We start from the raw sequence: 15,544 nt of genomic DNA, 5'->3' as shown, positions 1-15,544 counted from the left end.
GTTTACTGTTGTTCCTATAGAGCAAAGGCAGACTTGCCATAAACCTGCTTCAAATGGGGTGATTAAATGCAGACTGGATATTGATAACTGCCATCACTTCTGCTCCATGGAAGATAATAAAGATGGATAAAACAGCCCTACTCCAGCCCCTTGGAATCAACCCCTGTTTGTGAGCAGAACCAAAGTGGACATAGGTCCACTTTGCCCTTTAAAGTGAAGGACCAGAACTACTTTTGAAAAACAAAAAATGTGTCTCATCATCAGAGGGCTTGGATTAGTCAGGGTTTGCCAAAGAAATAGAACCAATAAGAGAGATATAGTTGGAGATAAGACAGAGATAGAGATAGAGATAAAGAGGACAATTGGCTTATTAGGACAATTGGCTCATGTGATTATGGAGGCCAAGAAGTCCCATGATATGCTGTCTGCAAGCAAGAGACCCAGAAAAACTGGTGGCGTAATGCAGTCAGAGTACAAAGACCAGAGGACCAGGGGAGGGAGCTGATGGCAAAACTGAAGCAGAAGGTATGAGAACCTGGAGGAGGTTGGACAGCAGGTGGGAAGGGGGTGCAGTAATCAGTTTAAGTCCCAGAGTCCAAAGGCCCAAAAACTAGGCACTCCATTGTCCAAAGGCCAGATGGATATCCCAGCTCAAAGACAGAGAAAAAGAGAATTTGCCTTTCTTCTGCCTCTTTGTTCTATTTTATCCCTCAGGGGATTGGATGATGCCTACCCATATTAGCGAGGAAGATCTTCTGTACTCAGTCTACTCATTCAAATGCTAATCTCTTCCAGAAACAGCCCCATAGACACCCAGAAATAAAGCTTTACCAGCTATCTGGGCATCTCTTAGCTCAATCAAGTTGACACATAAAATTAACCAACACAGGGCTAAAACTAGTATGGTTACTATTCAAATATTATTTATTATTCTTTGAGATTGAGAATTTAAAAAGCAGTCAAGCCTGGGTGCAGTGGCTCACACCTGTAATCCCAGCACTTTGGGAGGCCAAGGCCTCCTGGCCAAGGCCAGCCTGGCCAACATGATAAAACCGCGTCTCTACTAAAAATACAAAAAGTAGCCAGACATGGTGGCATGCACCTGTAAACAGCTACTCAGGAGGCTGAGGCAGGAGAATCGCTTGAACCCCAGGAGGTGGAGGTTGCAGTGAGCTGAGATCGTGCCATTGCACTCCAGCCTGGGTGACATAGCAAGACTCTCCCCCAGAAAAAAAAAAAAGGGCAGTCAAAAACCCCTTTGACTTATTGCTTATTTTAAAAGAACAAGAAAGGAGAATTCCCAAATCTCAGTAGTTCTGAAGCAGCAACCATGAAACTCTTCACGAAGAACCCCATGGGCACACAGGAGGCTGCACTCTTCAAGAGGTACTATCCTCCCACAGACTCCCCATTAGCGGATGCACAGAGGTCCAGCTTGAAAGTCTTTGCAAGTTGGGCTGGAATGACCAGCCCTACACATACAAGTTTCCACTGTGAAAGTTGTTGGAATCAAAATGGAGACGCTTGTGTTAAAAACCCTAACAAAAGAAGCCAGGGAAGGCCATGAAAAGAAGGTTATCACACACAAACGCCTAATAACAAGAACTATCACTAAAGATTCAGCAAAAACCACAACCTTGCACAAAGACCATCACAATCTTATATAAAAACAATACTTCGGCAAGGACATCTGCCCAGAAGATTTGTCCAACCTTGAACCGGCACCACCCTTGTTATTGATCCTTATAACCCAGGATAATTATCTCAAAACAACTATGCAACCCTCTCATTTTCCTTTAAAAGCCATTGTCTTCTTTTACCTTCCTGAATACACACATAGTTCACATGTATTCCTATTGGCACATGTATTCCTATTGCAATGCCTGTTCCCAAGTAAATATTATTTCTTTTAGACGGCATCTCTCTGTTATTTAAGTTGACACCACTTTTTCTCAGTCATCATTTTAACTTTATCAGTGTTCACGTAGGGTTGCTTTAAAAAAGTTTGTTTTGACCTTATAAAACTATTGAAAGACTTTCAAACTTAAGTCCAACATTAGGTATCTCTAATATTCCAAGTGTTACCTGCAAAGTAATTCAGCCCTAGGAGGAACTACTCACCACCTCCCCACCCAAAAGCCTGAGTCCCTCCAAAAATATGGGAGGGATCAAGTGGAGGAGCAAAGGAAAAGGAAAATAAAACTATATAATTCTCCTCAATTTAGCAAGAGAGCAAGAGAAGTTGCAACAAGTAATTATTCTATTCTATTAGTCAATTTTAACAAAATCATGGTTAATAATCCTGTGAAAACATCAAGGAAAGCACAGGAAATAATTCAATCATCATATTTATTGAGGGTTTATTATGTGCCAAGCACTGCTCCATTCAATCTCCCCACAACCTCATGAGATGGGTAATACTATTACTCCATGTTACAGATAAAACTGAGGCACAAAGAGGTTTAGTCACTTACCCAAGGTCATATAGCTAACAAGTGCTAGAAACTGGAATAAGAGAAGAAAGGAATAAAAAACAAAGTCTGAAGAATGAATGGTAACTGAGATGTCTTAGGCAACAGAGAGCTAATCAGTGGAAGATGTGCAGAGAAATCATTCATTCATTCATTCACTCATGCACCTATTGAGCTGAGTGCTGGAGATACGGCAATGGCAAATCAGTTTTTAAAGCTATCATTGTCCTTGAGATCTGGTGGTTATATACAGTGCAGTAAAGCTAAAATGGAGAATGCACTGAGTGAGGGGCATGGGAGACCTCTGTGAGACCTGAAGGTTAGAAAGACTCTTCCAGCAGAGACCGATGTCTGCTCTGAGATGTGAAGGATGAGGAAGGATGCTCCGGGGGTCGGAGCAGATTGCCTTAGCCCTTTGGGAAGGGTTATTGCTTCCCATGGGCGCTGGATGCTTTTTAAATAGACCCAAAAGAAGAGAACATGACTCTGACAGCCAAATTCCAAATGAATCCAGTCATAGAGTTTATTTTTCTTCCTACCCTAAAAGCCCTCAGGGAAAGAGAAAGGGCTTAGCAAAGGCAGTGGGTGGCCAGATGGGCTGGGAAAGGCCTGAAGCTAGGATGTGAGGGGCTCACTGGGAGGAATAAAGCTCTGTGGGACGAGCCCGCTACAGCAGTGGAAGAAAGAGCTCAGCCTGGCATGTGGACATGTTTGTGGAGAATACAACAGGGACAAGTGAAAGCAGTCCAAGACAGCAACCAAACTCAGAGCGGCTCAGAGAGAGGGAGCTGCACTTCCGGGGCAGACACTGGGCAGACGTCTACACAGAGAGGAGTGGCGTCAGACAGGATTCTAGACTTGGCTGGAACTCAATAGCAAGACAACTCCCAGAAGGGAAGTGGGCAGAGGAGGCAAGGCTGTATTCCTAAAGAAAACAGAGGCTTGGGATGAGGTAAAAGCTGTCTTCCCAGGGAATTCCAGAAAGAAGAAATCACATGTGAGACATCTAAAGAGGACGGCTATTCTGGGAGACCGAAAGTCATTCAACTTGGCACATCAGGAGGTCAAAGACAGGGATCGAGTGAGGCACACAGAGGGCAGGTTGGTAATGGCTTTATGAAGAATTATAAGAAGTCTGGCATTCTTCTCATTAAACAGGGCGTGATAACTCAATGATATTTATCTGAGTATAAACCCTCAATTGACCAGAGCTGCTGCAAGAGGCCCAGATTAAGAATGATGTATGTTCTAATTGGTTTGGTGCATTCACACCTAGGAATACTTTTTTATTTTTTTGAGACAGAATCTCACTCTGTCACCCAGGCTGGAGTGCAGTGGTGTGCTCTCTGCTCGCTGCAACCTCCACCTCCAGGGTTCAAGCAATTCTCCTGCCTCAGCCTCTCAAGTAGCTGGGACTACAGGTGCGTGCCAACGAGCCCGGCTAATTTTTGTATTTTAATAGAGACAGGGTTTCACCATGTTGGCAAAGCTGGTCTCAAACTCCTGACCTCAGGTGATCCACCTGCCTTGGCCTCCCAAAGTGCTGGGATTACAGGTGTAAGCCACCACACTCGGCCTTATGCCTGAGAATAGCTTTTATTCAGTCACGAATTATCCTCTTCTTGCAAACACAATTGGTATAGAATTACCAATTGTGTTTGCAAGTGACCCAAAAAGATTTAGCAAGATGAGTTCTGAGAGGCACATAAAGCTGGAAAGTGTTGCTTTCTTGCATTAAGCCAATTTTCCTAGACTTCTGGATGTCCATCTCTTCATTTCAATGGCTAAAGAGGTAGGAGGTTTTCCTACACAGGCATCATTGCCACCACATAGCCCCTCCTAAACCTCTCACTGAAGATCTACCAGGATAACAGGACCTTCAGTTGGGTCTACTTCTGACCCTTTGAGGCCATGCAAGCCCCCACTACACTCCTCAGCTATGCCCTAACCTGCCCCATTCCTTCCTGAAACCAGGAACCACACACAGAACGCTAGAGATTTTACTGCAGCCCAAAGACACTTGTTCCTTCCTCTTGAAATTGTATCTTCCCTCCTGTCTCTTGAATATCTCATTCCCAAATCACTTGCCCTGCTGTAAGAAAGCCACAGGGAACCTGCCCTGCTCCTGAAGACCCTGACATTCAAGCCAATCACCATCTCTACTGTGTCACATGGGCTTCCAGGACCCAATTTTATGTAACATGAGGACAAATATTTAACCTTTGAACCTCAGGGAAAACCTAAAAATGCTATTTCTCAATAAGGCATGGGAATATACTCAAATGGCCTGAGAGAATGCCACTCAACAAGAATCAAAAAGAAGAGGGACTTAAAGTTTTCCAGGATTTCCTCTATTCGGACACATCCACATTTCTCTTTTAAAGCAAGCATTACCAATAAGCAATGATGTTATGAGAAGACACTACACAGGGAAGTGGCTTAGCATTAAGGAAGTTAGATCTGAAGCTTGACAGCTATAGACTCTGACAATATTGAAATTCGCCTGTTATTCACCCAAGAGGCTGACACCAGCCAGGTAGCTGCACTGCAGAGGCAGATAAAGCAACATCTATGTCATTCATGTGATCAGTGACTCTTTCTTAAAAAGGTGAATCTTCAGCATCGGTGAAAGGAATGTAGTTATTCTAACATCTTAACAAGCTAAAACAAAATAAAACAAACTAGCATGCATGAAAGAAATGTTGTTAACATCTTAACATCCCAGCTGATCATCTGTTCAGAAGGAAAGGAATCAATGCTTGCAGGATAAATATCCTCCTAAACATTCAAAAACACCCAAGAAACTCCTTCCTGGGCACAAAGTTTTATTCATAGTGAAGTCTGAAAAAACCACTGAAAATATTTTATTTTTCCTGATTTGACTTTCTCCCGAGCCTCTTACGATGATGAGGAGAGATTTTTATTTTTTATTTGTCTACTTTGCCAAGTTGAATTATGAAATCGGGCCACTGGGAGATTAATATGGGGCACTGCATCATTTGCCACCAAATGATCATATCATTTCCCCATAACAAAAGAAAGATGAAGCCTAATTATGGAATAACCCAAAGACATTTTTTTCTACTTGTTGTCACAAAAAGAAATGTTTTCTAATTTATTTTACAGGGAAATGTAAATGTAAAAGTCTGTGTTAATGCAAAGTTAAAGTGTTAAGATAATGAATTTTAAGACAGGAAATGAGGCTATTCTGGGTTCAAAAGCCTCTCATGATATATGCAATATAGTCAGGATCACAGTTTAAAATCTAAATTTTCTTTTCAACTGTGTATATTTGGAAGTTGGCTATTATGCAGTGACCTCAAATCTTCCTGATGTGAAAGGCAGTTAAATAACAGAGCAGAACACAAGACTGACCACACAAAAAAAAAAATCTTCCTTGATGATTTCTGAGGGTTCTTTAGATATTTCTGTGCCCCTGATGACTTAGGATCAGGGCTAATGGATCCAGTCACCTGGCTTTAAATGACCTCTAGCGAGTCCTTCAAGTTCTGTGTCTCTAATATTGAATTTTACAGGCTATTAATGCCTTTTCAATTATATAATTAGCTATTTTCCTGCATGGCAGTACCTCTTTTAAGAGATGAGATGCAGAATACTGATAAGAAATCAGTTTATGTCCTTTATTACACAGTGAGATGTTATCAGTGAGGGACTTTACCTCAAGGGCTTACTCTCAGCCAAATGCCCTGCAATGCCTCTGATACAATGTGATATGATCGCTAGGGAGCCCCCCTCCTTCCTCTCCAGAACTGTCCACAAAAGGCAGTCTTGATTTGTAAAGAACGAGTCCAAAATCAAGCTCATCCTCTTCCCCCAACACAAACTGGCTGTGGCAGAGACTGGCACCGAGTCCCCCAAGGGAGAAATGTTGGGGTTTCTCTTGACTTTCCTCCAGTCAGTTTCTTTACAGGACCTGCATATTCTACTTCTTTAAGATCTCTTGTCCATCTCTTCATCTCTATTTCGGGTAACAATATGTCTCTATTGTCCAGGACAGTCTTGATTTATGCCCATTGTCCCAGCATAATCATGAACAGTGCTCCCTTTCACTCACAAGAGTCCAGGTATAGACAAATGATACTGTCTCTACTTCGACTCCCATTGCCACAACTGACTTCAGGCCCTTGCTAATTCCTACCTGGATGGTAGTAGTAGTTGGCAGTAGGAGCTGCCAATTGATTTTCCCTTTGGTCCATTTACTTTTAAAATTTTTTAATCGGCCGGGCGCCATGGCTCATGCTTGTAATACCATCAGGGAGGCTGAGGTTGGTGGATCACCTGAGGTCAGGAGTTCGAGACCAGCTTGGCCAATATGGTGAAACCCCATCTCTACTAAAAATACAAAAACTAGCCAGGCATGGTGGTGGGCACCTGTAACCCCAGCTACTCAGGAGGCTGAGGCAGGAGAATCGCTTGAACCTGGGAGGCAGAAGTTGCAGTGAGACGAGATTGCACCACTGCACTCCAGCTTGGGTGACAAGAGCAAAACACCAACTCAAAAAAAAAAAAAAAAAAAAGAAAAAAAATTTTAATTGATTGCCAATTCTGTACCAGACACACTATTAGCATGAGGCCACGCTCCCCGGTAGGGGCATGCAATTTGCATACTGCACAAGGGCACCCAGCCCAGGGAGCAAGGAAAACTATAATTCAGTTCTCCACCTGCTGGGCCACGCATCTTCATGTGGACTGGGTCTGCTTCATCGGAGAAAGGGACGCCTTTTTCTTCACACAAAGCAACCACCTGCTTGCCAAGTCTTGAACCCTCAGTGCTGCATCTGCCCAGTAGAGGTGGTTTTTTTTAATTACCATAAAGGAACAGCATAGGCTGACTGTAGCCCCTGCATTGTGGAAACTGCATTCCTTCTTCAAGTCTGTCCCTGTTATGATTCATTTCCCTCTTACTTCTGTAATGACCTTCCAACACCACAACCTGACCTTGCCTCTCCCCTGCACCCCTCAACAGTTCACAGTCATCTATAAGATGCAGTCCAAAGCTCTGGGTGCAGTGTGCAAGGCCCTTCATTATCTGTCATCTGCCCTCTCTCCAGACTCATTTCTTCCCACTTCTCCACATACTCACCTTGCTTCAGCTAAGCTGAACTTCTTGTGGCAGCTGGAACATGCCAAAGTGGTTTCCACTGGCTTAGCCCCTTTTCATGCACTGTTTATCCGAGTTTGGGTGATCAGATACACCCTACCCCATCACCTGACAATCTCTGACTTACTAATGGTGATAACGATGAAGGAGAGAAAGGAGAAAAAAATGAAATAATAAAGATGATAGATAACTATTGTAACAGACTGTTGAATAGAACAACTCTTCCTTTGCCTAAAAAATGGCACTAGGATCTACAACCCAAAACTATAGGTTCTGCGTGTCCCCACATTCTAAAGCAGAGCCACCAAAAATTGGACCAGGGCCAGGTGTGGTGGCTCATGCCTATAATCCCAGCACTTTGGGGGGCCAAGGCAGGAGGATTACTTGACATCAGGAGTTGGAGACCAGCCTGAGCAATATAATGAGACTCTGTCTCTACAAAAGCAAAGAAAAATTATTAATAGTCAGGTATGGTGGTATGCACCTGTAATCTCAGTTATTTAGGAGGCTGAATAGGGGGATCGCTTGGGCCCAGGAATTTGAGGCTGCAGTGAGCTATGATTGTACCACTGCACTCTAGCCTAGGTGACAGAGCAAGACCTTGTCTCAAAAAAAAAAAAAATTGAACCAGAATGCTCCTCAATGCTACATGTCCCTGCCACAAGCACCACAAGCCCCACACACCATCCCCCCACCCCCCCACACACACAGGCACATATAAACAGGTTTGGGGTGAGAGCTTACTGGAGAAAGCAGGTTTCTCCTCCCCTTAATCACCGCCCCACCCCCAACTCCTAAGAAGACAAGGATAACGGAGCCAAGAGGTCTGTGATGTTTGCAAGAAAAAGAGACAAGCATTCCGTTGTCCAATTAGATGTCTCCTGAATAGGCAGGCTGGCTTCTGGCCCTGTACTGGCTGGACATAGAGGGACTTCACAGGGGCAGGCTGCACAGCACCACGGGTTTCCCACAGATATCAAGAAACTTGCCAGACTGAGTAGTCTTAGAGATACTCCACCAAGAAGGGTGCTCGCCAGGTACAAGGACCCATCGGCAAAGGGTTTGGGAGTGTCCTGTGGGCTGGGGGAATATTGAGCTGAAGTAGTGTAGAAGGGAGGGGGACATATATCTCTTGCATCATTACCCTTCAGCCAAAGATCACAGGAATGCACCTGTAGTTGAATAAGTTGAGTTTATCACTCATTGTAGCAAGGGAGGATAGACACCATATGGAACTATGGGGGTCTCAGTAAGGGGGTGTTAGAAAGAGCCTATTATAGGATTTGGACTTTGGTTGAGTAATTTAGGGGAAGGTCTAAGGAAGCAGGAGGTTGCTATGGATGGGGTGCTCTCAGAAAGCAGGAATGATTCTTTTTAAACATTAAAAAAATTTTAATTCACAAAAAATTGTGTATATTTACAGTGTACATGATGTTTTTATATATGTATGTATTGTGGAATGACTAGATTAAGCTAAGTAACATATTCTTTACCTCACATACTTATCATTTTTGAGGCAAGAACATTTAAAATGTACTCTCTGTCAGGCGTGATGGCTCACACCTGTAATTCCAGCACTCTGGGAAGGCTGAGGCAGGCGGATCACGAGGTCAAGAGTTCGAGACCAGCCTGACCAACATGATGAAACCCAGTCTTTCCTAAAAATACAAAAATTAGCTGAGCGGGGTAGTATGTGCCTGTAATCCCAGCTACTCAGGAGGCTGAGGCAGGAGAATGGCTTGAACCCGGGAGGTGGAGGTTGCAGTGAGCCAAGATTGCGCCACTGCACTCCAGCCTGGGCAACAGAGCGAGACACCGTCTCAAAAAAAAAGAAAGAAAAGAAAAGAAAAGAAAATTCAACACCACTTCATGATGAAAAACAATCAACAGAATAGAAAGGAATTTCCTCAACCTGGTAAGACTGTCTATGAAATGCCCACAGCTAACTTCATACTTAGTGGTGAAAAACTAACAACTTTCCCTCTAAGGTGAGGACTGGGACAAGGGTGTCCACTCACCTCTTCTATTCAACATTATACTGGAGGTTCTAACCAGGGCAATTAAGCAAGAAAAAGAAACAAAAGGCACCAATTAAACAGGAAGAAGTAAAAATATCTCCATCTCCACATCCAGCCTCTCCACCTCACTAAAACTGAAGCTGAACAGGTGACAATATATCTGTTATTGGAAGGGTGGAGTTGTCAACTTGCTCTTTAAAGGCTCCATTCACCTGCCTTTTTTCTAACATCTCTTCTTGTTTTCAGGTCCTCCAGCTCGACTGGCACTATCACAGAGCTCGGGTTCCCCTTTCAGTGACCAGAAACTTGCTTGTTTTCTTTGCTTGCTGGGCAGTGAGGAGGTTCCTCAAAGGGACTCCGCTGTAGCACATGCTTGCATTCTCACTGTTGGCTCTGATGCAGGACCTCCACACACTGTGGGTGACAGCTCTTAGTGTACAGCTGCTGCCACTGCCCACCCACATGCCCTACACACGCAAACACACACACACACACACACACACACACACACACACACACAGTTTGTAGAGCCTGAGGGCTTCTTCTGGCTGCGGAGATAAGCACCTTTATTGGCTGTCTTCCCTTCCTGCTTGCTCACCTGCCTGCCCCAACCCTCAATCTCTGTGTCCTGATGTGGCTTCTCAGGTGACCTACTTGCACTGGAATCCTTGTCTCAGAGAAAGCTTCTGGAGAATCTAAAACTATGACAGATCGTCATACTAGATCATGGAACCAATTTAGTGGCTCTTGACCAGTGAATTAATAAAAAGGAAATCAGGGCCGGGCATAGTGGCTCACACCTGTAATCCCAACACTTTCGGAGGCCGAGGCAGGTGGATCACTTGAGGTCAGGAGTTTGAGACCAGCCTGGGCAACATGGTGAAACCCTGTCTCTAGTAAAAATACAAAAATTAGCCGGGCATGTTGGTGCATGCCTGTAATACCAGCTACTCGGGAGGCTGAGGCAGAAGGATTGTTTGAAGCTGGGAGGCAGAGGTTGCAGTGAGCCAAAATCTCACCACTGCACTCCAGACTAGGCGACACAGGGAGACTTCATCTCAAAAAAATAAAAAAAAGAAAAAGAAAGAAAAGAAAAGAAAGAAAGAAAGAAATTAAATACAATAGGAAATAGAGTGCACTCTGCATTTGTTTCCTTTTCAAGAAAACAAATGGGTCATGTAAACTGCATCTCTTAGGATGGAACAAAGACAAAAATATTTAGGGAAACTCTGCTGTAAAGATTTTTCATTGTTTTTTAAACAACTGTCAGGTCAACATATGACCTTTGAGGGGAAAAAAAATGCTCCACTTGTCTATAATACACTAAGGAGAGGCCAAAAAGCAGTGCTAGGTTTTTCTGGATTGGAGGATGTTTCCCCACTCTCCACCCCCCGATTTTGTGGTCATTTAATTTTCAAAAAATTTGCAATAATTATCCTTGTAAGAGTCTGTTGAGAATGAGTTCTTTACACTGCTAATGGGATTATGAACTGAACTGCTGGCTTTCAGTCAGCAACCCTGTAAATCCCTGGATTTATGCTAAGAAAAAAGAACACAAAAGAACCACAATGTGACATGCAGAATAATGCACGCTGCAATGTTACACATTCAGTTAAAAAGTGAAAGCAACTTCCATGTCTGCATTGGAGAGGCCAGTGTTCCTGGGAAGAGAGGCTTTCAAGTTGAGTTTGCAGAGCACTTCGCAGAAAGACTGAGGAAGAGTCCACCGTTTATATCAAAAACCTCCTGGAATGCTGGTGAAGACTGGGGGCGCTTTAGGTGCCTCCGTGGCAGCTCCAACGAGGAAGGAGCTGGGACCCCTGCTCCTCTCAGCTGCGCTCTGTTCTCCCGAGAGGCTTGCTGGAGGGCGAGCAGTTCAGCAAGAACTCAAAACAAGGGCACAGCTCTCACACGGATTCCAGTACTCACTGAAAACGGCTCAGCACAAAAAAAGCACAGAGTCTTGTTGAATGCCACTGGGAGACAAAGCGGGGAGGGAGGTGCAGGCAGTTAAGAGGTTCCAGAAAGGGAAGTGGTTGGCAACGGTTTGTCCTTTTAGTGCTTGACACCCAAGACCACAGCAGGCCTGTGGCCAGCGGGGACACAGTCCACAAGTGGGGGTTTTTAACAGCTTGTTCTTAAGAGAGCTTCCCAAACCACAGAGTAATGAGCACTCAGGTGTCTCAGGCCCACGGAGGATTTAATAGATGAAACCCTGGATCGTCTCGAAGCCGTGGTTGTTAAGAAGTTTAAATATATTGACCGGAAACGGGGAGAAACCAGAGGGTGGAAGAGCCGCTCGCACTGCGGTGCGATCCCTGAGGGCTCGGGGCAGGGGACTGGGGACCGAGCAGGAGCTGGCGGGGTGAGCTCTGCGAAGCGGGCGTGAGACCGAGCGCCCATGGGCCGGTCACGCCGGGTGCCCGCTCACCCCCCGACGCCAGCAGGAGCGCGCGCGCAGGCCCCGCGGGGCCGGGAGGGCGGCACGGGCGGGGCCCCCGTGCTCTCACCGCCCCGGGGTGTGGTTCCCGCGGACAGGCCGGGCGGGGCGGCGGGTTTAAGGCGCCGGCCGGCCCGACACGGCTCACTCGCGCCCTTGCCGCTGCCACCGCACCCCGCCATGGAGCGGCCGTCGCTGCGCGCCCTGCTCCTCGGCGCCGCTGGGCTGCTGCTCCTGCTCCTGCCCCTCTCCTCTTCCTCCTCTTCGGACACCTGCGGCCCCTGCGAGCCGGCCTCCTGCCCGCCCCTGCCCCCGCTGGGCTGCCTGCTGGGCGAGACCCGCGACGCGTGCGGCTGCTGCCCTATGTGCGCCCGCGGCGAGGGCGAGCCGTGCGGGGGTGGCGGCGCCGGCAGGGGGTACTGCGCGCCGGGCATGGAGTGCGTGAAGAGCCGCAAGAGGCGGAAGGGTAAAGCCGGGGCAGCAGCCGGCGGTCCGGGTGTAAGCGGCGTGTGCGTGTGCAAGAGCCGCTACCCGGTGTGCGGCAGCGACGGCACCACCTACCCGAGCGGCTGCCAGCTGCGCGCCGCCAGCCAGAGGGCCGAGAGCCGCGGGGAGAAGGCCATCACCCAGGTCAGCAAGGGCACCTGCGAGCAAGGTGGGCACGAGCGCTTCCCTCTCCAACCCTGCGCCGCTCGGCCCAGCGAAGGGCACATCCGACGGGGCGTCCGCGGCGGCCTCGCCCCGCGCTGCTCACTGCGATTCCCCCGCGGGCATCCCAGGAGCCAGATGGGAGGGAAAGAGTTGGCAGCCGCGGAATGCCAGGAGCGGTGGGCGACGCCCCCCCTTCTCCTTTTTGGTGGTTTTATTTTGAGAGTTTGCTGCGTGCGTCCAGAAAGTGAGGGCCGGGTGTATATGTAGAAAAGATTTTCCGAGACCTCAGACTTCCCCATGCCCAAAGCGCACCCAACTCGTGCTAACATCTGTCCATTTCTCATCATTCTTGGCTTGGGGATGTAGAGAGAGGTGAAGTCAAGAGATGGGGGAAAGGAGTTTGACAATTAAATATAAAGTAAGGACTTCCAGACAGACTTTTTTTTTTAAAAGATAGGATCTTGCTCTGTCGCCCAGGGTGGAGGGCAGTGGCACGATCTTGGCCCACTGCAACCTCTGCCTCAAGCGATCCTCCTGCCTCAGCCTCCCAAGTAGCTGGGACTATAAGCCTGTGCCACCACGCCTGGCCAATTTTTGGTTTTTTGTTTTGTTTTGTTTTGTTTTATAGCGACGGAGTTTCACTATGTTGCCTAGGCTGGTCTCGAACTCCTGAGCTCAAGTAATCCCGGCCTGCTGGGATTACAGGCATAAACCACCGTGCACAGCCCTGATTTCTTAGTATTGAAGAAAATAGTCCACTTTCTAAAAATTATAGGTTCTCAAACAGTAATCTAACTAGCTAATTATTTGTGGGCAAAAATAAAATACAAACTCTTTGAAGACTGTTTTTGTGATGCACTTTGTTGTCAACCTTCTGACCATTTTGTTTTTCCTTCCTATTTCTTTGATTTGTATTGTTTTGCATAATTTGTCCCCAGGATACACTGTTCAGCAGAAATGTCTTTGAGATTATGTTTGATTGTTTATTTTATTCCAAACAAGTCCAAGCTTGCTGTAAATGAAATAAGGAAATAGGCCGGGTGGGTTGGCTCACGTCTGTAATCCCAGCACTTTGGGAGGCCAAGATGGGCAGATCACGAGGTCAGGAGTTCGAGATCAGCCTGACCAACACGGTGAAACCCCATCTCTAATAAAAAATATATATATATACATTAGCTGGGCATGGTGGTGCATGCCTGTAATCACAGCTACTCAGGAGGCTGAGGCAGGAGAATCGCTTGAATCTGGGAGGCGGAGGTTGCAGTGAGCCGAGATCACATGACAGCACTCCAGCCTGGGTGACAGACAGAGACCCCATCTCAAAAAAAAAAGAAAGAAAGAAGAAAATAAAGTCTGGACTTGCAAATACACGCACATACACACACACATAGAAATTTTAACTCTAATGCCTGAAATAACATTTTCCATTGGCAGTATTTTCAAGGGAAAGTCAGACATTCAATGTTGGCAGCTCCTGATCTTAGCCAAGGTAGAAAAGGGAGAGGAGGCAGTTCTGAGGTTACAGAAGCTGTTGCTTCTTTAACACAGTTCAGACTTTCTCCAGAATTTCCAAATTCTTTCTTTAGAGCTTTTCCCAGAAGTCCACAAACTAATAGGTTGTATGTCATCAATTTCAGAGTTCACTATTGAAAGCCTTAAATTGTGTAACTCACTAGTAACTATTTATAGTATCATCACCTTAAACTTAGAAAATTGCAACCCAAAATAATCTGCATATGTTTACAATAGAAACAGTTATTTGTTACTTTGGATCTCATTTGTCGGTCACATCATGAAAAGATAAATGTGCGTTATTTAAGAATTTATTCCAAATATTGAGATTTTCTTATAAACATTACAATGGGGAACTTTATAGTTTTTTCAAAATGGCAGATACTTGCCTTATCAGAGCAGAAGGTTAGCTTGGTGATTGTTCAAGTGTTGTCAATTTCTAGTTTATACTTAATATTCCTTTTTCTCACCTGCTACTTACATCACCAAACACTCACACAGTCTGATTATAAAATATTGAGACTGACAGTCATATAGAACCAGTTTCATAACCTCATTACCATGTACACCCAGCTCAGTACCTCTCCAGACTGCAAACCCTTTGAGGGTTCCGGCCCGGCTTTTCTTTATATTTGGGGAAATGTTAGAGAAAACAGCATCTAAAACTGGAAACCTTGACTTAAATTAGCCATTTCTTCTCATCCTAAATTGAGAGAGATGAGTTCTAAATGGCAGAGACCATTTATAGGAGAATGCCAAAGAGAGCAGAAGAGAATGGGAAGCCTTTCCCACAGCAGAAACTTTCCACAGCAGAGACAATAGACTGATCCCTATCACATCCCCTAAATATTTCTTCTGACACCTGGATGGGTTTTGACAATCATAGAAGCAAACTGGACAGAGTGCCATTTACTTCTGTGCCATTTCATACTGGGGCTTTGCACAGAATAGGAAATGCATTGTCTAGGTTCCTCTAGACCTCTAGGTTCCCTTCTATTCTCAGAAGAAACTTAAGTTATGCTTGAGTATAACTTGAGTAGGGGCCAGGTAGGGGCAGCATTGTGGGATTCAGCCACAATGGTGTGATTCAATCTGCCCTCTGGTCTTTGGTTCCATTTAACATGCATTTATTGAGCAGCTAACTTGAGTCAGCACTGTACTAGGTGCTATATACCAGGGATGTACAAAACAGATTTGATGTTGCTGATTAAGAAAGTATCTGTACAAGTTACAAACTCACCTCCCAGAGCACTTGCCCTGGAGCCCTGGAGCTTGCCCCAGTCTTCCTCCTTTCTAAGATCACCACTTACCCAACTGGGAAGAGATCTTG

The 15,544-nt window shown here is 45.6% G+C and overlaps 1 protein-coding gene and 1 long non-coding RNA gene across 3 annotated transcripts in view, besides 1 other annotated feature; one reads left to right on the top strand and one right to left on the bottom strand.

Moving 5' to 3' along the window:
- IGFBP7-AS1 (IGFBP7 antisense RNA 1) overlaps positions 1 to 12,821 on the bottom strand; it is a 95,538-nt gene extending 82,717 nt beyond the window's left edge. Inside the window, exon 1 of the long non-coding RNA NR_034081.1 lies at positions 12,613 to 12,821. This is a non-coding gene — a long non-coding RNA (IGFBP7 antisense RNA 1). The remainder of the gene's footprint in view (positions 1 to 12,612) is intronic.
- Positions 12,060 to 12,129: a silencer, noted in NCBI's record as "silent region_15459". NCBI's record gives its function as "represses an Ori minimal core promoter by ATAC-STARR-seq in GM12878 lymphoblastoid cells {active_cell/tissue: GM12878}" and the evidence as "EXISTENCE:reporter gene assay evidence [ECO:0000049][PMID:35858748]".
- The window catches only part of IGFBP7 (insulin like growth factor binding protein 7), a 79,613-nt gene continuing 76,266 nt past the window's right edge, over positions 12,198 to 15,544 (top strand). For both annotated transcript variants that reach the window (NM_001553.3, NM_001253835.2), the window contains exon 1: positions 12,198 to 12,706. In NM_001553.3, coding sequence (NP_001544.1) covers positions 12,232 to 12,706 — 475 coding nt within the window. In that variant the 5' untranslated portion in view covers positions 12,198 to 12,231. The remainder of the gene's footprint in view (positions 12,707 to 15,544) is intronic.

Source organism: Homo sapiens, chromosome 4 (genome assembly GCF_000001405.40).
Source record: "Homo sapiens chromosome 4, GRCh38.p14 Primary Assembly".
NCBI lineage: Eukaryota > Metazoa > Chordata > Mammalia > Primates > Hominidae > Homo > Homo sapiens.
Note: the sequence above shows the minus strand (reverse complement) of the source record. Positions and strands in the feature narration are given on the sequence as shown.